This window comes from Homo sapiens, chromosome 4, assembly GCF_000001405.40.
Source record: "Homo sapiens chromosome 4, GRCh38.p14 Primary Assembly".
In the NCBI taxonomy this organism is placed as follows: Eukaryota; Metazoa; Chordata; class Mammalia; order Primates; family Hominidae; genus Homo; species Homo sapiens.
The window spans coordinates 146,823,995-146,847,800 of NC_000004.12; the positions used below are offsets into that span (position 1 = coordinate 146,823,995).

The following is a 23,806-nucleotide window of genomic DNA, read 5'->3' on the forward strand; positions in this document are numbered from 1 at the left end:
TTTTGAGCTGAGACAATGGGATTTTCTAAATATACAATCATGTCATCTGCAAACAGAGACAATTTCACTTCCTCTCTTCCTCTTTGAATACCCTTTATTTCTTTCTCTTGCCTGATTGCCCTGGCCAGAACATCCAATACTATGTTGAATAGAAGTGGTGAAAGAAGGTATCCTTGTCTTGTGCCAGTTTTCAAAGGAAATGCTTTCAGCTTTTACCCATTCAATATGATATTGGCTGTGGGTTTGTCATAAATAGTTCTTATTATTTTGAGAGATGTTCCATCAATACCCAGTTTATTGAGAGTTTTTAACATGAAGGGGTGTTGTATTTTATCGAAGGCCTTTTCTGCATCTATTGAGGTAATCCTGTTGTTTTTGTCATTGGCTCTGTTCATGTGATGGGTTACATTTATTGATTTGCTTATGTTGAGCCAGCTTTGCATCCCAGGGATGAAGCTGACTTGATCATGGTGGGTAAGTTTTTAATGTGCTGCTGGAATCAGTCTGCCAGTATTTTATTGAGAATTTTCACATTGATGTTCATCGGGGATATTGGCCTGAAATTTTCTTTTTTTTTGTGGTGTCTTTTCCTGATTTTGGTATCAGGATGATGCTGGCTTCATAAAATGAGTTAGAGGAAATTCCTTCCTTTAAATTGTTTGGAATAGTTCCAGAAGGAATAGCATCAGTTCCTCTTCATATATCTGGCAGAATTCACCTGTGAATTTGTCTGATCCTGGGCTTTTTTGGTTGTTAGGCTATTAATTACTGCCGCAATTTCAGAGCTTGTTATTGGTCTATTCAGGGATCCAACTTCTTCCTGGTTTAGTCTTGGTAAGGTGTATGCATCCAGGAATTTATCCATTTCTTCTAGATTTTCTAGTTTATTTGTGTATAGTTGTTTACCATATTCTCTGTTAGTAGTTTGTATTTCTGTGGGGTCAGTGGTGATATCCCCTTTATCATTTTTTATTGTGTCTATTTGATTCTTCTCTCTCTTCTTCTATATTAGTCTTGCTAGCAGTTTATCTATTTTATTAATTTTTTCATAAAACCAGCTCCTGGATTCATTGATTTTTTGGAGGGTTTTTCATGTTTCTATCTCCCTCAATTCTTCTGTGATGTTAGTTATTTCTTGTCTTCTGCTAGCTTTTGGATTAGTTTGCTCTTGCCTCTCAAACTCTTTTAATTGTGAGGTTAGCATGTTTATTTTAGATCTTTCCCACTTTCTCCTGTGGGCATTTAGTTCTATAAATTGCCCTTTTAACACTGCTTTAGCTGTGTCTTAGAGTTTCTGTTATGTTGTCTCTTTGCTCTCATTGGTTTCAAAGAACTTCTTAATCTCCATCCTAATTTCGTTATTTATCCAGTAGTCATTCAGGAGCAAGGTGTTCAATTTCCATGTAATTTTGCAGTTTTGAGTGAGTTTCTTAATCCTGAATTCTAATTTGATTGCACTGTGATCTGAGAGACTGTTGGTTATGAGTTCAGTTCTTTTGCATTTGCTGAGGAGTGTTTTACTTCCAATTATGTGGTCAATTTTAGAATAAGTGCCATGTGGCACTGAGAAGAATGTATGTTCTGTTGATTTGGGGTAGAGAGTTCTGTAGCTGTCTACTAGGTCCACTTGATCCAGAGCTGAGTTCAAGTCCTGAATATTCTTGTTAATTTTCTGTCTCGTTAATCTGCCTAATACTGACAGTGGGTTGTTAAAGTCTCCCACAATTATTGTGTGGGAGACTAAGTCTCTTTCTAGGTCTCTAAGAACTTGTTTTATGAATCTGGGTGCTCCTGCATTGGGTGCATATATATTTAGAATAATTAGTCCTTCTTGTTGAATTGTTCCCTTTACCATTATGTAATGCTCTTCTTTGTCTTTTTGGATCGTTGTTGGTTTAAAGTCTGCTTTGTCAGAGACTAGGATTGCAACCCCTGCTTTTTTTTTTAAAAAAATTTCCATTTGCTTGGTAAATTTTTCTTCATCCCTTTATTTCAAGCCTGTGTGTGTCTCTGCAGGTAAGATGGGTCTCTTGAATACAGCACACCAATGGGTCTTGACTCCTTATCCAATTTGCCAGTCTGTGTCTTTTAATTGGGGCATTTGGCCCACTTACATTTAAGGTTAGTGTTGTTATGTGTGAATTTGATCCTGTCATCATAATGCTATGTGGTTATTTTGCACACTAGTTAATGCAGTTTCTTCATAGTGTCATTGGTCTTTATATTTTGGTGTGTTTTTGCAGTGGCTGGTACCAGTTTTTCCTTTCCATATTTAGTGCTTCTTTCAGGGAAGCACCAGGAAAGGCCTGGTGGTAACAAAATCCCTCAGCATTTGCTTGTCTGGAAAGGATTTTGTTTCTCATTCACTTATGAAGCTTAGTTTGACTGGATATGAAATTCTGGATTGAAAATTATTTTCCTTAAGAATGTTGAATATTGGCCCCCAATCTCTTCTAGCTTGCAGAGTTTCTGCTGAGATGTCTGCTGTTAGTCTGATGGGCTTCCCTTTGTAGGTGACCTGGCCTTTCTTTCTGGCCACCCTTAACAGTTTTTCCTTCATTTTGACCTTGGAGAATCTGATGATCATGTTTCTTGGGTTTGATCTTCTCATGGAGTATCTTAATGGAATTCTCTGTATTTCCTGAATTTGCATGTTGGCCTATCTTGCTAGGTTGGGAAAATTCTCCTGGATAATATCCTGAAGCGTATTTTCCAGCTTGTTTCCATTCTCCCCCTCTCCTCTGGTACTCCAATCATTTGTAGGCTCGGTCTTTTTATGAAGTCCCATATTTCTTGGAGGCTTTGTTCATTCCTTTTCATTCCTTTTCCTCTATTCTTGTCTGCATGTCTTATTTCAGTAAGGTGGCCTTCAAACTCTGATATGCTTTCTTCTGCTTGGCTGTTGATACTTGTGTATGCTTCATGAAGTTCTCATGCTGTGTTTTTCAGCTCCATCAGGTCGTTTATGTTCCTCTCTAAACTGGTTATTCTAGTTAGGAATTCCTCTAACCTTTTATCGAGGTTCTTAGCTTGTTTGCATTGGGTTAGAACATGCTCCTTTAGCTCATCGTAGTTTTTTATTACCTATCTTCTGTAGCCTACTTCTGCCACTTCATCCATTTGATCCTTCATCCATGTCTGTGCCCACATCCCTTGGCTGGAGGGAGGGGGCTCCCCTTCCCCATGTGGCTCTCAGGTGGGCCACCACACCACACTGCTCTTCCCTCTCTCCGTGGGTCCTGCCTGCCTTCTAGTCAATTTTGATGACAGCATCTGGATAACTTGGTTGCTGGTGAAGGATTCACACACTTATTATGGTTTATTCTGATGGGAGCCCCAGCTTCTTGTAGGCCATCTTGGCCCCGCCCCCACAGTAGCATTTCTATATGCCCCAGAAGGTATTTTCAAAGAAGTTTATTTTAAACAAGTATTGGTAGGATTAGGGTTATCTCCTTGCATAACCTCCCAAGGTTTGGAAAACATTCATTTTCACAGGTAAACAGTGATATGTTTTTAAAAATAAGTTAGATTACTTTAAAGTCAAAATGAGTTATGGTGGAATTTAGAAAGATGTACGTTTGAATCTCAGCTCAGCCTCTTAGATTAATAACTTTGATCATACTAAAGTTATGAAACTGAAGAAAACTTTTGTCTCTTCATTTCAAAAATGGCCACAAGTGGCTGTGGGATTAAAAATTGTGTAAATGTATAGCTTGGCATGTAGTAGGGATTCAATAAATGGCACTAGTGTTATTATTATCTCTCAGTGAAATAAACAACTATCACATTCACAGCTCTCTACTTGACATTGTCTACCACAAGCCAAGAGGCAAATTCAATTTAGCTAAGCAATCCTTCCTGAAAACATTCATCATGTGATGAATTAAACATCCTTGATTTTAATGTATGCTCTGCAAATCAGTCACATAAAGTCCTGGTGTCTATTTTCTAAGGGGCAAAATCAAAGAGCTAACATTTTTTGTTTACTTGAGTATCAGGTACTATCAAATACATTTTTTTTCCTCTTATTGGTAAAAGAGTCTTCTACATATCAGAAATAGGATGAAATTTTATGTTACTGCAGCTGTGAATACTTTTTATAATTCTGTCCTCACTTTTTCATACTAAAATTATGACCGATCTTCCACATATAGGCATAGGTCAATTCTCCAGAAAAATCATGAATTATTGGAGGAAATTTTCAAATGCAGGCATAGAGTAAAATATAATGAGAGGTTCACCGATTATTTTAATTTAAATATTTGTTTTGTGAAACTAAAAGTTATTGAGAGAACTTGAGTATAAAATATTAATAAAGAAAATACATTATTTAGAATTTTGAGTGAACTTATGGATTTCTAGGGCTAAAAATGTTCTATCAAATTGTTAATTTTTTACACTCTTTCCTAGGCTATACTATTCAAGAAAAAATTGATGGGGGAAACATGATGATTTCTCTGAATATCACTTCAAAACCTTAGGGAAAATTATTATTATTAATTATTTAGCTAAGATGGACTCACTGAAGCTTATTTATGTTCATGTTTCTAAAAACCAATATATTTTTGAAGAAAGTACATTTTGAATTAGATTTGGCCTGCTGAGGATTGTTAAATCAAGATATATACAAACAAAGAAACAAGCAAAAAAAACTAAGTTTAGAGTATGAGAAACACAAAATAGTATAAATAAAACTATTGCTGGGTAATTCATGTCATTTTTCTTCCAAAGGAGCAATAGATCTCCAAAACATACAAAATTATCTGGAACTTGCTCTAACAAATAATGCTAGAGAAAAAAGTCTTATTATTGTAAGTCATTTGCTTTACTCAATGAATGTATAGGTCTACAGCCAGCAAACTTGTTAATGTAACATCTGAAATATTAACATTATATGCTGGTTAAAGGTTTTCCAAATTTAAAAGTTAGTGACAGATTTAGAAGCCATTCTTTTTATGGAAGGGGAAAACACCAAATATTTTCTTACAGAAAGGGTACAGCTTATTTGTATAAGTTAAAGGACAAGGTTAAAATGTTAGATAAATATTAATTCCAGTTTTCTATATGCAGTGCACAGGTGCAACTTGAACAGCATATTATATGGTATAATCATTAAATTCATTCAACCAGACCTTAGAGAGTTAAAAACATATATTCGGAGGAACAGGACTCCTCGGTCCAAAGAATGAGAATGAAACAGTGCAGAATATTTGTGTATCAAGGTGATTCCAGTTTCCAACTGGGAAAACAGGACCGTTAACACCCACGTCCCTTGACAACTGTCCAATTATGTATATCACACTTGGCCTACTGTTTGCAGTAGAAGTAATCAATAAAGGATGTGGTTGAGTGAACATAGATTTTGGTTGAACCAATGCATGAAAACTTAATCATTTACTCAGAGAGAAGAAATCAAATAGAGCAGAGATGAAACAGCCACTAAGGGGTTTGTTGATTGTGCCACCAAGTTTGTGGGCCACAGATGAAAGTAATAAGGCAAATGGGATCAGTGACAGGAGAAAATGCAAAAAGCTGTTCTTAATTTCATGAATTAATAGATATGTTTTGATGTATTTTTTGGTCATTTTTAGGAAACTTCACATCAAAGCCTGGATGTTCCATTTTAAAGAATATATGAAAATTACTAGGGCGTGTCATTTCTCTCAAGCAAGAAAAAATTAATTTTCAGCTATAACAGAAAGGTAATTTTCACACTTGAAACTTTGTACTGATTGATTTAAAGATCTCCATTGTGGAAAGTTTTCTAGGAAATAATTTAACTTGAGTTTGCAAGAAAATTTACAATTGGTATGGAATAAACCCAGAGATGGGTTAGTTGTGACCAATATGTATTAAACATATTTTTGTGAATGTTTTTCTCTGTATTCTTTTAAATAATCTGAGTATTTTGGAAAGTTGTGGCATTTCTGTAAATGAACTACACTTCAGTAAATGAGGCAAAAAGAGAAACGCCATAAGGAAAATATAGGGATTTTCCCTCTCTGTATTTACTCAAACTGTCTGTCTGTATGATAATAATATTTACTTGTAATTTCTCAACTGGCTTTCTCTTTGTTTTATGGACCATAATTCTAGCTTTTATTGTAGTTTCACAAAGCAATTGTTAGTATTTTAGAGCATCAAATCTTTTCTTCACTATTATTCCAAGTAGGGGAAGAATGATATTATAAATGCTTATTTTCTGCTATGCTGCTTAAAGTCTTAACCAATTAATATTATTCAGATCAATGGCAAAAATAACAAAACTTGTTCACTTATTAACACCTTCCCCAATAACTCTAACACCAAGTCTGTATCTATTAATAATATCACCAGGCAGGCAACTCTGTATTACCAAATCCTCAGTCTTGAGGGATTGTGGTGTGTTTTTCAATTGAGGGCTTAGTATAAATTCTTATAACCATTTTAGAAGCTTCCAGCCTTAGATCTTATTCACCATTCATGCACGCTCAGCTGATGGCCTTAGACACACACTTATCCTAGACATGGCTATCCTCTTCCATTTCCTTTAAAGATATAAAATATATTTATAGAGATAGGTCTACCATTAGTGAAACTTGTGCAATTGCACAGGTTAGGAAAAAGAGATTTAGAGGTGATGCTAAGCTTCATATGCAACTTGATTTATTTCTCAGCTGCCACCACCATAATTTCCTCTATTTGGGCTGTAGTCTGTTTCTTGCACGTTGCTACTAACCTGAGAAGGACAATTTTGGGCTATGAAAGGGCTGGTACATGTGTGTGTTTGTGTTTATATGTGTGGGTATGTGCATGTATGTATGTGTGCACATGCATGTTTACTGAAGGATATAAAGCCTTTCAAGCAAAATGTTCTAAAAATGATCACAGAATTTACATCAAAGCATTTATACTATGAGTGGACTTGATTTAATAATGCTTTGCGCTATTCAGGATGCTGTTGTCTATCTTATAGAATTTTAGGTTTGGAAAATCTGCCTGTTAGTAGATCACTTTTTGAATTATTTTGCACAGATATTGAAATAATATGTGGAGGCTTGCACTCCCCTGAGTACTCCTCTATAACCAACAACAATGCTGCAAAATCACAGATTTGGATTGGAAAGCTGGTTGTAGCCTTGGGACACTTTTTCACTATGACCTCAGAATAAGCATCCCCTGCACTGTCTTGTGCATTGTGGCATTGTATAACATTATAAAATTAAGAATCCATGTCTACCATGAAATCACTGGTAGCTTTATTGTACTTTAGTAGATGGGAATTCTTTTTTTAATTAATTAAAAAAAATAGATAGGTTCTCACTATGTGGCCCAGGCTGGTCTCAAACTCTTGCACTCAAGTGATCCTCCCACTTTGGCCTCCCAAAGTGCTGGGATAACAAGTGTGAGCCATTGTGCCTGGCCAGGAATTCCTATAAAAAGAATTAGTTTACTTGGCATAAAAGTAAAATGGAGATAAATCTTCTTGCTCCTTTAAATGTTTGCCCTAAGGCACATTGGCAGGCTGCTGAGAGTGTTGGAACAGAATGGTCCCCAGTCCTACCCAAAACAAATTCAACTTCATGATATATCAAATATAGCTGTATCCCGTCCCACTCCCAAGCTCCAAATAATACTTAAATAGGCAAATTAAAACATCAGATTACCTGGTAGTGCCAAAATTCACCAGATAATTGTTCAACTCTTCACTTAGCCTTGACTGAATCGACCAGGAATTCAAATCCTGGGAAGGAGGCTAAAATATTCCAGATAAGAAGCAAGGCTAAGAGGTGAGAATTATTTGAAGACAGACTCATGTCTCTGGAAGTTTCAAAAATAATTATAAAGACCATCAGTAACCAAAGGGGCATTTCAATATTTGTCCAGTGAAATTGTAAGCGCTTAGTAGATGTTTATAAATAAATTTTCCCCTTGAAGTTTTATCTCTTTATTAATTAATTTATTTATTTTTGCGATGAGGTCTTGCTATGTTGCCCAGGTTGGAATCAAACTCCTGGGCTCCAGGGATCTTTCCATCTCAGCCTCCCAAGTAACTGAGATTACAGACACCCACCACCACACCCAGCTTATCTCTCCAGTTATGCTGGAACACAATGGAAATATCATTTTGTAAAAATTATTTTATAAACATGTTAGGGGACACATTTACATGCTACTACAAAGCAAAGCAAAGAATCCAATCTTTTTTTGCTGATTTTTGGGCAGTGATAACAGCAGAGTCAAGTAATTTCATAATCAAAATGTACAATCAACAGAGTTGATTAGTTCCAAACAGACATAAATTGAATTCTTATCAGTCTCTTCTTTGTATTCAACCACCTGTGTCTTCTGGGTTGTTGTTTGGAAGTAAAAGTTTTGAAAAATAGCTGAGTTGGTCTTCCATGGACTAGTTACCAATGTTTATTTAGAAGGATCACAACACTCACAGGCTGCTTGCCTTATCCATGACTGGCTCTGTCTTTCTTGGGTAAACACCCATACTCTCCTTCTTTTCCTTATTTTTTGAGACAGTTTCGCTCTTGATGCCCTGGCTGGAGTGCAGTCTTGGCTCACTGCAACCGCCACCTCCCAGGTTCAAGTGATTCTCCTGCCTCAGCCTCCCGAGTAGCTGGGATTACAGGAGCCCTCCTCCATGGCCAACTAATTTTGTGTGTGTGTGTGTGTGTGTGGTATTTTTAGTAGAGAGGGGGCTTCACCATGTTGGCCAGGCTGGTCTCAAACTCCTGACCTCAGGTGATCTGCTCACCTCGGCCTCTCAAAGTGCTGGGATTACAGGCGTGAGCCACCGTGCCTGGCCTCTCCTTCTAAATATGTCTGTGTTCCTAAACCATTTATCCAGTGATGACTGCGTTTTATTTATTTTGTAGGATATCTTTAATTTCATTGGTACTGATATTTTAAACTATGATTATTATATTAGTAATGGTACTTATATAATGATTCCAATTTTACCTCACTAGGTACTTTTTAATGTTTCAAATGCCTTTCAAATAACAATTTTACTTTTAAAACACCTCCTTGTATGTGTTTACAACTGAAGTACAAATGGGAAGAAATTAGAACTTAATACAATCTATATTACTACAGTTACTGCAACCAACATTACTATTATTAAAAAGCTCTATCTTGGATATAAGATAACATAGTAAAAACCAAGGCCTTAACTGATAACTTTTCTTATTGTTATTATTTCTTAAGTCATAATGCTACTCTATAACAATCAAATGGAGTAAACAATGATTGCAAGACAATGACTGAAGGGTGAATGATATATCTTCCATGGAAAAACAGGTATCAGAAGTTGTTCATATATCTAAAATTTTCTGTTTTAAATGAAATATTGGGAATATTGGTTTTAACCCCAATTGTTTATCCAGATGTGCTCAAAGGAGAGATGTCTTAATGGAAAAGCATGACTGAAGCATAAATGGAAACTTTCCTCAAAGAAGAGATCTGGAAAGGTTATGGTGAGCCACAGCCACTGAAGCGTACTACATATTTCTGTGCTGTCTGCTTTCTTAACTTGTGAGATGTGACCCGATTTTTTTCTCTTTTATTCAAGGTCATCACTAAACTTACAGAAAACCAAAAAGAAAATAATACGAAGGAGGCACAGACAAAGAAGAGTTTAGATGCATATTTTAAACTACCAAACTGGTTTAAAATAACTTATGATGAAAGGGTCACTTAAGAAGGGCACTGCTTAAAATTTAAGCAGGCAGTAATGGAAAGCGACAGACCTCAAACAATTTAAGCCTTTCACAGTTGAGTGAATTCACAGTGACAGCAAGATGAGAATGTGCTAACTTACCTCTGCAGGACCTTGGCTATGGCTTCATAGCCTCTCCCCAGACTGAGATCATCATCCAGGTCTGTGGAGATTTTACAGTAAGTGTCAAGGACCTATCAGGAAGAGAAATACATATTGAACATATAGCACAGCCAGATACGCTGATGTTTCATTTCATAACAGAAAAAAATAAAATTAATAGTTGGTTTTAATGTCTCTATAAAAAATTTTGTTGATTAAAAATTCATGTTGGTTTGGTTTATTTTTATCTATAGTATAACTTGTTTTGTGGCAATCTCTTTAAGCCATGACAGTGACGCCTTACTTTTGGAAAAAATAATTCTTTTCTTGCATAATTGCCCAAATCTTCCAATTTATATAACTTAGGTGTGAATAAATAATTTAATGGTTTTTACATTATTTTAAAATACGGGATTATTATCTAACGTAATATAAGGCAGATTATAATATTCTACTATGATAGCTTAAATATCACTTTTCTTTCTAAAAATAGCTATTTGAAAAGCATGAATTTAGGTGCCAGGCAATTTCTAAATCTATCATTTTATTAGATGCATAGCTCACCGTTTGTGCATGTATACAGTTTACACTAAAAATATTTCTTACAAATGTATTTCATTACCAACAATCTCTTCAATAATCAAAAGATTACAGCTGCCACAGCCAAACATGTGATCTTAATTTAATTTAACACTGACATCATCTGTATGGTATAATTTTCCCTTTTCCCTCTTTCAATGGCCCGAAGGAGAAAAATACATAAAACAGAATCCCCATTCTTCCTTTTTCCTTCATTATTACTTGACCCAACCTATTACACACATGAGGACACAGGAAATCTCCAAAGACCTCTATGGAAATCCTTTTTGCACATTTTCTAAGAAAGAATTAGCAAAAGTCATTTGACGGCATTTGGAAGACAGAGTCAGTGTGAGGGACGACATAAAAACACCTTGTCTGCTACTGCCTGAATCAGGCAGCCTAGAAGGTTTAAGTCTGAGCGGCAGGGTTGATATTTTATTTGCTTCCTTAGTGTCAATATTTGGGAAATAATTTCAATGAGGCTATTGCGACACTTCAAAAAATTTGAGTTTCATATGGTTTGCAAGTGACTGCTTGACATAATACTGTTGTTAAAACTTATGGCTATATACTGACCCAGGGTTTTAATTCCTGCTAAAAACCACAAAGTTAAAAATTTTGGGGTATTTTGTACTTTAAAAATGTATTTATTCTTAACTAATAAATAAAAACATATCTATCACCTCACCAAATTACCATTTGTTAATGTGGTGAGAATGTTAAAAATGTATTCTTTTAGCAATTTTGAAATATACATTATTATTACCTTTGATTTTCATTTTTAAGTCTCTTTTTTTTATTCTTATACTTTACCTAATGTTAAATGATGAGTTAATGGGTGCAGCACACCAACATTTTTAAGTCTCTTAATAACCCTTGTGTAAACCTGAGAATATTCTTTTCACCATCTTACATAACAAGTAGCACTTAGATCTAATCTGATATGAATTGACGTAGACCTTTCTGAGTTAAAGGGCAGTACCTCTGAATTTTGTGAATTTATAAGAGATCTTTTGGAATCCTAATATCAAAATATTTAGGAAAAGATTTTCTGGTGTCTTTTTAAGGTCCATATAATTTACATGACATTCTAGAAGTTTAAAGTAAAGATTGAATATAATTATATTTTCTGCCAAAATAGTTCATTTGTTTTTTTTCAGCAAATACCACTATTGTGTCTCAGGCACTATGTTAGACCGTAGGATCTTAAGTAGATGAGAATATGCCTGTAACCCTCAAGGCATTTACAGTTCAGTGCTCCAGACTTTGGACTGATACAACTGTGTGAATTAACAATGACTGAAGACAGGTTTCCCCAGGACTTAAGCTGTGCTTATATTGCACCACTCTCTCATGACCCTGATCTCCATGGGCTCTGAAGCACATGGCAACAATCAGAGGTGCCCAGTTTTATCTGTGAGGTGTGACTCTTGAACCCATGGATAGAAGGGTAGGTTCCCAAGAAATTATGGGTAGATACTTCAGTGTTGATGGCTCCTATCCCACACCACTGTGCCATAATTCCTGGGAGCAGAGGGGCAAAAGACAGCTTTGGCCTTGCACTTGATTCCATAGTAGCTTCCCATTGGAGACAGATGCAGCCTGCTGAAATGAACACTAACCTTAGAATAAGAATACTTGGATTCATGTCCTAGCCTTCCATACCCAACACATTTGGGCCAGGAAATCTCTTTAAGTTGAATTTCCTCATAGTAAAAAAGAAAATCTACTTCTGAGAATGGTTGTAATGCTGTGAGATAATATAAAGTGCTATGTAGATATTAGGACAAGAATTATTTGGGAACCTGTTATTTAGCTGCCAGTGAACAGCTCCTGGTAGGAGTGTCCCTCCTCAAAGTAAGGACAACTGATCTTTTTTGTGGTTTGAGAGAGTGTGGGTATTTCCTTAAACAATTTACAGAAAAACAGGAAATATATAGGCAGTAGGACGAGTATAGTTCATTATTGACCAAGTAGGGAAAATGTCAATCACATGAAATTCACATGAGGGTCTTGCAAAGGAGCTGCTCTAAATCAAAGACACACCCTCTGATCCTCAGGAACATGAGCTGCAGTGGGAGAGAGGAGTGCATATAGGTGAAATCATGAAGAGATTACTAGACAAAACCCAGTGCATTGGTGAATTGTGTAGTTCAAACTAAAGAGAGTAGGAGGGTCTTCATTAAAATAAAAAAGCATTAAAATGAGTGGAAAAATAACATGATACTACAAATTCTGTAGAAGATACAGATGTTTTAATTTACAAGAAAAACTCAACCTTATTAAAAAGTGGGCAAAGGAGGTGAACAGACACTTGAAAAGATGACATGCATGTTGCCAACATGCATATGGAAAAAAGCTCAATATCAGTGATCATTAGAGAAATGCAAATCAGAACCACAATGAGATACCATCTCTTATGAGTTGGGATGGCTATTATCAAAGTCAAAAAACAACATATGCTGGCAAAGGTTGTGGAGAAAAGAGAATGCTTATACACTGTTGGTGGGAGTGTAAATTAGTTCAACCATAGTGGAAAACAGTGTGGTGATTCCTCAAAGGGCTAGAAACAGAACTACCATTCAACCCAGCAATCCCATTACTAGGTATATACCCAGAGGAATAAAAATTATTCTACCATAAAGACACATGCATGCAAATGTTCACTGCAGCACTATTCACAATAGCCAAGACATGGAATCAACCTAAATGCACATCAATGCTCACTGGATAAAGAAAATGTGGTACATATACACCATAGAATACTATGCAGCCATAAGAAAGAATGAGATCATGTCCCTTGCAGCAACATGGATGCAGCTTGAGGCCATTATCTTTAGTAAACTAGCACAGAAACAGGAAACCAAATACTGCATGTTCTCACTTATAAGTGGGTGCTAAATGATGGGAACTCATGGATACAAAGAAGGGAACAACAGACACTGGGGACCTGCTTGAGAATGGAGGGTGGGAGGAGGAACAAGACCAGAAAAGATAACTGTTGGGTACTAGGTTTAGTACCCAGGTGATGAAATAATCTGTAAAATAAAGCCCTGTGACACAAGTCTACCTATATAACAATCCTGCACATGTACCGCTGAACTTAAAAGTTTTTTAAAAAGATACAGATGTTTTATACTGTTTTATAGTAGGCAACTTTATCTGCTTAAAGCAGGTAAGGTATAACCTACAAATTAATAAATATTGATCAACTTGAATCACTAGACAAAGAGTGGAACCACTTTTACAAAGAATACTTCAAGTATTATAAGAAAATACAGTGTGGCAATCTGAGGGGTGCACTGCACTTGATTGACTATCCCTGTGGCAGATAATATGTTGGAAACAGAGCCAGGATCAGGATGGTTAAAATCTAGCATCGCAAATCAGAGATAGGCAAACAAAGGATCTCCAGGTACAAATATTTTGATGAATTGAAAATATATATAATATATAAAATATAAGTGAATTTGTCTATTTTTAAAGTTCATGGGAACCAACTTAACCTTTGGCAAAAGACAGAGGAGAACATTAATTTAGCATGTTACTATGTAAGTTTCAATGGACACCAAACTACATGATAACCAAAGTTACCAAAGTTGGCAAAGTCAGTTCATACACCTAATAAGAATTGAGTGCTACATGGCCACTCTATCCAATTGCTCCAATAGTTTCAGTGAGTAATGAAGATGAAGCTTTAAAAACAATTTCCATGACTTCAGAGAAAACAGACTATCTTCTTACCAAAATGAAATAGATGTACTTGGTAAAAACATTTTCAAATAAAATCCAAAGTTCTTAAAATAAAATAATTACTATGGGTCACCTAAAAACAAAACTACTAGAATACTCATCAGAAAAAAATGAGAGTGTACAAAAGAACAATGCTGGGGATATGCTACAGATTCTTTGAAGAAGTGTTGTTGTAAAATGAAATTTAAGGATTATTAATTTATTTTTACTGCAATAGCCTGAGGGAATATCAGATTTAAGTCAAAGATTGTCAACTGTCAAAAAAAAAATAGAATATCTATCTGTCTTAGAGAAAGTAGAAAAATATCCTTGCTTTTTCAGAAGATAGGAATTTAAAATTTATAAGCATAAATTTTGTGCCTGAGCTTTGACATTTTTAAGGAGACACATAGGAAGACATTATTAGGTCTAATAATTTCAAGCACCCAGTTGTCTTTTTTCCTTTCTATGCTTAGGACTACCAGTTAGGAGGGTACCTTGGACAGACAAAAATGAACTGCAGTTGACTCTTGAACAACACAGGTCTGAACTGCATGAGTCTACTTAATGCGAATTTTTTTCAACCAAATGTAGATCGAAAATACAGTATTTGAAGGATTGGGAACCTGCCTGAAGGAACAACTGTATTTGGTATTCATCCTCCTTTCTAACTTCCTCTGTTTTCCTATTTCTCACCCCACTGCAATTCCTCTCTTATATACCTTTATTTTAGAAACTATTAAAACATAAAATTCTACCAGTCTTGGCCCTTATGTTCACTTTAACAAGTGAAATTTTAAATCACTATGAGAACTATCACTTCAGGCCTACCTTTTCCAAATTAGATGGAACTGTCCCCTGACCCCTCTGTCCAGCCAGCCTTTATAAGAAAACACTGTTCCAGTTCATTTGTTTTAAAAAAGTTTAAAGACCACTGTAGAGTCACACAGAGTTGTACGAAATAACACAGAGTGATCCCATATACCCTACACTCCATTTTATCCCAGTGATGACTTTTTTCATAATGATCGCATAATATCACAATCAGGGAAATGACATTGATATATACCCACTGGCCTTATAAGTACTGTGTGCTAACCAAATAAGCGCTAATATTTGATAGTGCAGTAGAGATATTATAGATAATAATTATATATTTCAAAATAGCTAGGAAATCATAGTTAATAATCATTTATTGTATACCTAAAACTAGCTAAAAGATTTGTAATGTTCCCAACACAAAGATAAATGTTTGAGGTGATGTATATCTCAATTACCTTGATTTGAGCATTATACATTTTATACAGGAATCCAAATGTCACGGGTAACCCCCAAATATGTATAGCTATTATATAGCAATAAAAATTTTTAAATTTCACTGGCCTTATTCAGATTTCACCAGTTTTACATGAACTCGTGTGTGTGTGTGTGTGTGTGTGTGTGTGTGTGTGTGTAAGTTTTATGCTATTTTATCACATGAATATATTCATGTAGCCACCACTGCAATCAAGATACAGAAAAATTCCATCATACAAGGATGCCTCATGATACTCTTTCCTAGTTCATTTTTTGTTTGCTCCTTAAAAAAGAAAAATGATAAAGGAAAATCTTTTTTTTTTCTCTTTTCCTTGAGTAAAAGTTCTTCCTTGGGAAAAATTCCGCAATACCTTGGCATCTCTTCTCTACCCCTTTGGTGCACCTCCTTTAACTTGAGCACTTGTATTTCCCTGGCAATTTGCTCAGCTAAGTGATAGAAAAAAAGGAGTTGACTGAATTAATTCATACTTATACATAGGTGTGAATGACTCAAACGTCATTAACTCTGGCAGAGGAAGTTGCAGTTTTAAAAAGAAAATGTTTGTCAGCCCCACATCATTTCTTCTAAACTACATTTTATGCAGTTTAATAAAGTGCAGTAAGATAATTCAGACAGTGTGCGGCAGGAAAATTTGGGGACAAACGTTATAAAATAAAAAGCCAGCTTCCTTGTCTTGAAATCTAACCTTTGATACTATCTCTTAATCTTTTAAGTGGGTACTGGTTTTTATCTTTTTTTTTTTTTTTGGTCTACTGTACCTTTGTGTTTTCTAGAAGCTCTGCAGCTTTTTCACAATGTCCCTTATCACATAAGCGTGGAAGAGATGAAAAAAGGAAGAGGGAAATGTGCAGCAGCAGATGTGATCCCAGTAAAGAGAACTGCAGCTATTTCCATTCCACCTTGTTATCACTTTCTTCATAACGCCCAACCTTCAGAACCAATGTATTATGCAAAGAACTCTTCCAGTATATTCCATTAGATGTGGCTGCTAGATATAAAATTATATTTCTGCTCTTAAAGACCTTACTATGTAAGGAAATAAGACTTACAGACACTGAAATTATATAGTGCTGTAAGTCTGTATAAAGGGCTAAAAATTTAGTCCAAAAACATTAATCCATTACATAAATACTGAGTGTCTTTTATGGGCAAAGCCTTGTTCTAGGTGCTAGGGATACAGCAGCCAATAATACAAAATCCCTGGCCCATTGCAGCCTACGTTGTATTTGGGCAACGGGAAGACAATTTGTAATGAAATAAATAAATAAATGAATTTCAGATAGTTGTAAGAACTACAAAGGAATACAACCAGGAGAAGCTTCATATAAGAACTCTATAATAACTCTATCTTCATGTAAGAACTCTATCTGTATTTTAAAGGAATAATAGAATTGGGGAAGCTGGAGCAAGTCTGGAAATGAGAATAAATGATACAATGAGAAAGAAGAGAAAGCTTTGCTAGGATACATAGATGCAGCAATGTTCAATAGAAAGTGTGCTTTAAAAAGCATTCACAGAATGTTTGTCTAGTAATGTGGACTAAGTTATTGCAGTTTCAACTGATAAATTAAAGAACAAACTTTCAAATGGCAATTTATCTTTCTGATTTCAAAGAAAGTATTTAATTGTTGTGGAGAAGGTAAGGCAGGTCATTCATTTTCATCCCTTTATTCTACATGCACATAACAGTAGTCTTTTGCAGGACTTTAAAAAAATTCACAGTTTTTGTCTTTCTACTTTCTGAGCACCTCAACATGTTTGGTGAAATTTGCCGCATTCAAGATGGTGCAGGTGGCTGCCTCGTTTTCTGTTATTCCAAGTTTTCAAGATTTTATTCAGCGTTGTTCCTGTGCCTAGGGAAAGGAGAGGAAGTATTTTTCTTTCTCCCTCTGGCACAGCACTGTGCATGCACAGCTCAAACTACTATGACCAGATCACACAGGTCAGTGACATGAATTTAAATGGGCCTCTGCTCTCTGGCTGGTGACCTTAACTACCACTATTTCTGTGTGAAAAAAACAAACAAGCAAAAAAAACACCATAGAAGCCATCATATGAAACAAGTTCTAGAATGTAACCTATTTGAGATGGGAGTTTTGCAATTTTGCAAAAACTTCAGTGAACACGAATATTTTTTTTCTTATTTTTTTTCCTCTGTACCTATTCCTTTCTCTGCTTGCCACCCTTCCCATTGTTCTTTCTTCCTGAGTTAACTCAATATTTGAAGCAGTAAGGACTCCTACTCTGAAGACACAGACCGGGCCTTGGAGGAGCCTTGTGAGATAATGAAATCTTTCTCTGGGTGTTCAAATTTTCTCCAAACATCATAGGCTTTTGAGCCTGGAAGGTGTTCTACTGAGCTGACTGATGGTGCCAGGTGACTTAATCTCTCTGGGCCTGTTTCCTCAGGTACAAAATGGAAATGAATGAAGCCTACCTTGAAGGGGTGTTACAAGGTTCCAATAAGATTAGGTATGTAAAAGTACTGTCTAAGGATTTGAACAAAACAACTGCTTAATTTGCCTTAGTGCTTATCTAACCTAGTTGTTCTCAAATGGGGGTTATTTTGCCCCTGCCAGATGGCATTTGGCAATGTCTGCATATGTTTTAGGTTGCTATAATTATTGGGGGGGTGCTACTAGTATCTAGTGAGTCAAGGCCAAGGATGCTGCTAAACATCCTACAACGCACACCATAGCCTTCCCCATAGCAAACCATTATGCAGCTCAAAATGTGCATAGTGTCACTGTTGAGAAACCCTCAGCTGGCCTTTGCTTGAACAATTTTCATGATAGGAAATTATTTCCTAGTGAGGCTAGCCATTCAATCACTGGAGAGTTACCTGAGAAAAAACATTTGTTCAGCCCAGGCAAAATCTGTAACTCTCACCTGCCAGCCAAGGTTGTGCTTTGTGCGACAGCAAAATAAGCCCATTCCTCTTCTTGTGACAGTCCTCCCAATAGTGAAAGGTGGCTGTTTTCCCTCCCCAAACCCCACAGACTTATAGAGAGTCATGCAGGACACTCTGAAATAAATGAGAATGAAACCCCTACAGGTTAGCCATATTTGGATGCTTTGTTTCCAGTTTTGTCTACAAGTCTAAGAGAACCAGAAGAGTTTAAATAAACCCACCTAGATCAAAAATTGTCTATAAAACCATAAAGAGCATCAAACAGATTTCTCTGTTAACAAGAAGTTATGAGTCCTTTGCCCAGGGTACATTTTTTACCCGTTTCTTCCTTCCCCACCATAAAAAGTCAGCATAGCTAATATTGTGTTATACATCCCCTACACAAAATCCAAATTGTGTCATTTTATAACAAAAGTTTAGCACTGTTCTCCATGCAGTGTATTACTTTGAGGAAAAAAGGGCAAAGATACAGATTTATACTTATGCAATGAGAAATACAGAAATAAAAAATCAAGTTTGCCATCTTGAGCTTGAAATCATTGTCAAATCTTATTGGAAATACATTTATTCTGATTTCTGGCAATCTAACCCCCTTTAGCCGTTTCACAGTTGGTGAGCAGAGAGGATGTTTCTGCCTCATTTACAGTGTCTGAACATGATTCAGACAATCAACTGCAACATTAGTCAAAGGAATCAGTGGCTAATGATTTCTGACAAGCACTGCAGTAACAGGCTGAGGACCAGACTGGGCAGCCATAGCATTCAGGGATGTTTTAGAGGAGCCAGCAAATAGGCACTGGTGGAAGATAATACACATGAAGGCAAATAGCAGTGGCCCCACATCACTTAAAGGCTCTTACATACTTTATGAAAAGTATCTGACATGTAATAAAAACACTAATTCTTTTCTACAAATATGTTATCTTGAGTGGACACTGAGGACAATTAGGGATGTCGCTTTGTAAATTATAATACACAAAAGTGGTTACATCTTTTGCATTCCGCTGAAACTACACTCTTAAACTGGGAATAGTCTGGCCTTATAATTATTAATATTGATCATTTGAGTACGTACACTTTCTCCCTGAAATCCATGACTCATCATTCAGAGTATCTCCCATACATTGACTGCTTACGTTGCCCAACACCTGAAGTGGAGGCTGTATGGTCAAGGGCGGGAAGGGCTGAGTATTGCAAGACATGAGCACTAGTTTCTCTTCTGCCATGAGCTCATTGTGTGACTATGGGCAAGTCACTTGGTTACCTTGTGCTTCAGTTTACAAATCTACTAGATGATGGAGATGAATCAAATGGTCTCAAATTCTCCCTTCCAAAAGTATGATTTGGATTTTGGAACTCTACATTGGTATCTTTAATAATCAAACATATGTCCTAATTGTTTTCAATAATTTATCTTTGGCTTCAAAATTCCTGATCAATTTACTTTATCTCTTTAAACTTTCTCTGTAAGAAGCAAAGGGATGAATCATTGTATTTGATTGAAATTTTATTTTCATACTCTCTCCTCATGTGATAAGTCCTGCAGAGTTTTAGGGAACGCTTTTTTAAAATGTCCCTACATTAGAATAAATGGCAGAAAGGAAAGCTCAATTAACAATACTATTTGGTTAATATTAAACAGCAGTTAAATGTAATAATCAGTGCTGTACAAAAATAGCAAATTTTTGTTTTACAGTCAGAAGTTTTTAATAATTTGATGAAAATCAAGATTAGCCTTAAATGTAATAGCCTGGTTAAGAATACCCAATTATCTTTCACATGCTAAGAGTTTACATTGTATTTTCAAAAGCTGTAAAAACATAAATATATCAGAAAATTTCCAAGAATCTTTTTTCATCTAAAACTCTCTCTTTAAACATCCAACAGGCAGATGGCTCTGAAACCTCAAAGTAATGAGACAAAATTTCATATACAGTTAGAAATAAAAGTTTTCCTCAATAGTAAATTGGAACATACAGCTCAAAACTGCCATTTCCTAAATTGGTCATTATAGTTTTGTATTACCTTAACAAGATACATATTGATGAAGAGATTTTATTCTAACTCTCAATCGTTACTGTACTATAAATAAAAAAATGTGGAATATTTATCCTGTACAGTCCAATCACAGTGTGAGTTATATTTACAGCTCCTTGAAAGAAAAATTTCCTAGCTCTTAACCTTCTTTTTTTTGTTTATTTTTATTTTTTATTTTAGAGATGGGGTTTTGTCATGTTGCTTACGCTGGTCTTGAACTCCTGGGCTCATGCAATCCACCCGCCTTGGCCTCTCACAGTGCTGGAATTAGAGGCATGAACCACTGTGCCCAGCCCCCAGCCCTTAACCTTTTGCTAAGGAAATCCATTGGAGATCTTGGGTTATATTTTGCTAGGAAGCCTTGAAGAATGAGTAGCCAATTCATTGGCAGTCCAGCAATCTCTGAGGCAGCCTGATACAAAAATTCTGTGCAATGTAAGATTAAAGCAATTAGTTTAGTGCCATCATGTCCTCTTAGAGAGTTCAGAGCAGCTGAGTCGTTAGTAATGGCAGAGGTAGGAGGGCACTCAGACATAAAGGAACAGCAAGAGACCAACTGACTCGTGTCAGCAGAGTGAATTGATGGACTGCTGCTGCTGTGTAGGGGGAAATAAGAAAACTCAGCCCCTCGTCTTCCAGGGGTCTTCCAGTTCCCAAGAATCTTTTGGTCTGTGTGTGGCCCAACTGTTTGCTTCTCCTGGGAATTCGTAGGATTAGGGTTTCTCTCCTTGCCACAGCAATCTTCACAATCAACTCTTGTACTTGAGGTAATCTGAATGAATCTCTTTCTTGAACCTCAAGAATAAAACAGAGAAGCACTGAGAGATGAAACAGCTGCCTTAGAGTTAAGGCGGTAAATAGGCCTTTTCCTTCCATGTGTATCAGTGAGACACAATGTAGGTTGATTCTTTCAGCCTGTGTCTACTGGCAAGAGAAATAGGCCAGTAGACACAGGTTACATACAATGATTAGTGACATCCTTGTCAGAAAAGATATGAGAGAAAGTAAGTTGCTTGTGTATTTTTTTATTAATAAATTCTCACACTTCACTTGGTTATATTTCTATGAGGATTCAAAGTGAGTGGGACAAATAATTTCATTATACCTATGATAACATAACCAATAATATCAGTTATCAGTTATTTATGGAAACTAAAGATGGTGGTGGCAAACTGAATCAAATAAAGTGCCAGTCAAGTCTAATTTGACCAAACAGGTATTGTCACTTGCTTTGCCAATGCAGAAATGTCAATATCTACAACTAGATTTACGATGTGCAGGACTCTAGGAATCTCACCCCAGCCGTACAGACCTTTCACTAAGGAATGGGCCCAGCTCTCTCTGCCTCCAGGCCCTTGTTAATTGCAGGCCCCGCTGCCTGCATTGTTCTTTCTCATTTTACTCCTACTCTTCCAGTACTTGTACACACAATCACACACACACACACACACACACACCACTTCTTTGTGCTATTCTAGCACTCACCACATTGTGAAACATATCTACTTATTATTTTCTCCTTCTAGTTAGACTGTAAGTGCCCTGGGGACAGGATCCATACCTGTTTTGCTCTCCATTGTGCCTCTAGCTCCTCGTCTTATGTTAACCTTGAATATTGTTGAATGACTATTGTAGAGCCCTTGGGAGGTACTAGTAGTACCTGTAGAAACATTAACATGGCTATAACAAACCATTGTATGTATTGACTTTTGCATTCTACCGCATTCAATAAGAGAAAAAAAAATGACAGTTTATACCTATGGTAAATGAAAAGTGTATGAAAAATTTCAGTTAACAGCCAGTCCTGGAGATATGAAGTATCAGCACAATCTTCATAGAAGAAGACTTACATGAAATTTCAGATTGACACAAGAACCCCCTATCTAAAGGTGCATTTGGTTTGTTTGATCACATTCTCAGACAAATAAAAGTTTCCCCCATTACGAACCCAAGGGGTCATTATGCTAAGTGTGGACCGGTGGGTCAGAGACTGAACCACGTTACAATAGTCCTGGTATTTGGAACGATTCTTCTTATCTGTGGAGGAAATATAAAACATTTTTTCTTCCATTTACTCTAGAGTAATAGGAGACAAATACAGTTTTTATCCTGATAAGTACCAAAATGAGGCAGAGAAGCTGTGAAAAGTCACTAGCATGGTGACAAGTCTCTCAACTTCTCCCCAGTGGCCACCTAACCTTCTTCCTTTTGGCCACCTTGAACGAAATGGTTTCTGGCTCTGCAGAAAAGGATCAGGGGGTGTTTTACATTTGTGGGTGACTATCTAGAAGGTTTTAATAAACACTAATCCTACGAAAATTTCTATATTTCCACATGAACTGATTACCATGAGGAAATCTGTCTCTCCGCTGGCAGCAAAGCCATCATCTATTCATCATACCTCTTACTGGATTTCTTTCTCATTTAAGGCAGGATTCAATAAAATTTCATTGTAGTTTCCTTTTCTCAGAAATCCATGAAAGCCTTGAAAAACATGTTGAGCATATCCTGTCTGTACAATTTGATATCCTTTCCACCTCAGGCCATTATTCTGATAAACTCGGTAAACCCTAATTTAGATCCATGATGTAATGCTTCCATATCAGGCTGTGTGAACATGTTCCTTTAAAATAAAACATGGTAGGAAAGTCTTCCACTGAATGCTTTCGCACAGAAGAAGCTTCGTCTATTACCCTTTCACAGTGATAGAAGAGACAAGATAACAATTTATGAGTCATTTCCATTCTGACAGGAGCGACAATGACTGGAAATGCGATGCCTGCCAAGAGCTTTTATCAAGTAGGTTATAACAACTAGTAATAAGTGTAAATAATAAATGTCTGGGATCTTAGGGGAAGCGGTGGCAATAGGAAATGATTTTTGGTACTTCTGATGGGGTTCTGCTACTCTTGGAATTCCCTGGCTTCCCAGTAGAGTTTTGGCCTGACAATAAACAACAGTTTAGTACTTTATCTAATCCCAGCCAGGAGGTGAGTTCAACAGCAAGCTTTTGCAGATGTTCACATTCAATAATCTATCCATAATTGATGAAACAGGGAGGTCAGATGTAATGGCTGCTACTATTCCAGCAACAAATAAATGGTTATTGACAAAACAAGCCAGTGTGGTGCAGAGTGCTGAGCAGTGACAGGCAGGAGCCGGCACTGAGGCAGAGACAGGGAGGACTATGCGGCTCTTCATCTTGAGAATTCCTCAGCGAGCCATGTGCAGAAGGGCCACACTGACACAGAAGCAGATGGAGGTGACTTGTCAGGGAGAAGGGAGGCTGCTGAAGTACAAAAAAAGATGAAGACATGCCGAGGTGGAGAAAATGCTGAGTGAGCCACGGACAAGGCTGGGGACCAGGGTAAGTACAAATGCATCGAAAGTTCAGAAGTGCCTTTGAATGCTCGCA

The 23,806-nt window shown here is 36.5% G+C and overlaps 1 protein-coding gene and 1 long non-coding RNA gene across 14 annotated transcripts in view; one reads left to right on the top strand and one right to left on the bottom strand.

Annotated features, from left to right (window-relative positions):
* The window catches only part of TTC29 (tetratricopeptide repeat domain 29), a 239,248-nt gene that overhangs the window by 117,378 nt on the left and 98,064 nt on the right, over nt 1–23,806 (bottom strand). For 10 of the 13 annotated variants that reach the window (NM_001317806.3, NM_031956.4, XM_006714339.3 and 7 more), the window contains one exon: nt 9,812–9,903. In NM_001317806.3, coding sequence (NP_001304735.1) covers nt 9,812–9,903 — 92 coding nt within the window. Of the gene's footprint in view, nt 1–7,646; nt 7,801–9,811; nt 9,904–21,956; nt 22,052–23,806 lie in introns of those variants that run through there. The other 3 variants (NR_133922.3, XM_047416243.1, XM_011532310.3) reach the window with 2 other exon arrangements.
* Nucleotides 9,243–9,805, top strand: LOC105377474 (uncharacterized). Its single transcript, XR_939314.2, has 3 exons — nt 9,243–9,291; nt 9,378–9,467; nt 9,563–9,805. It is a non-coding gene; the product is annotated as an uncharacterized LOC105377474 (long non-coding RNA).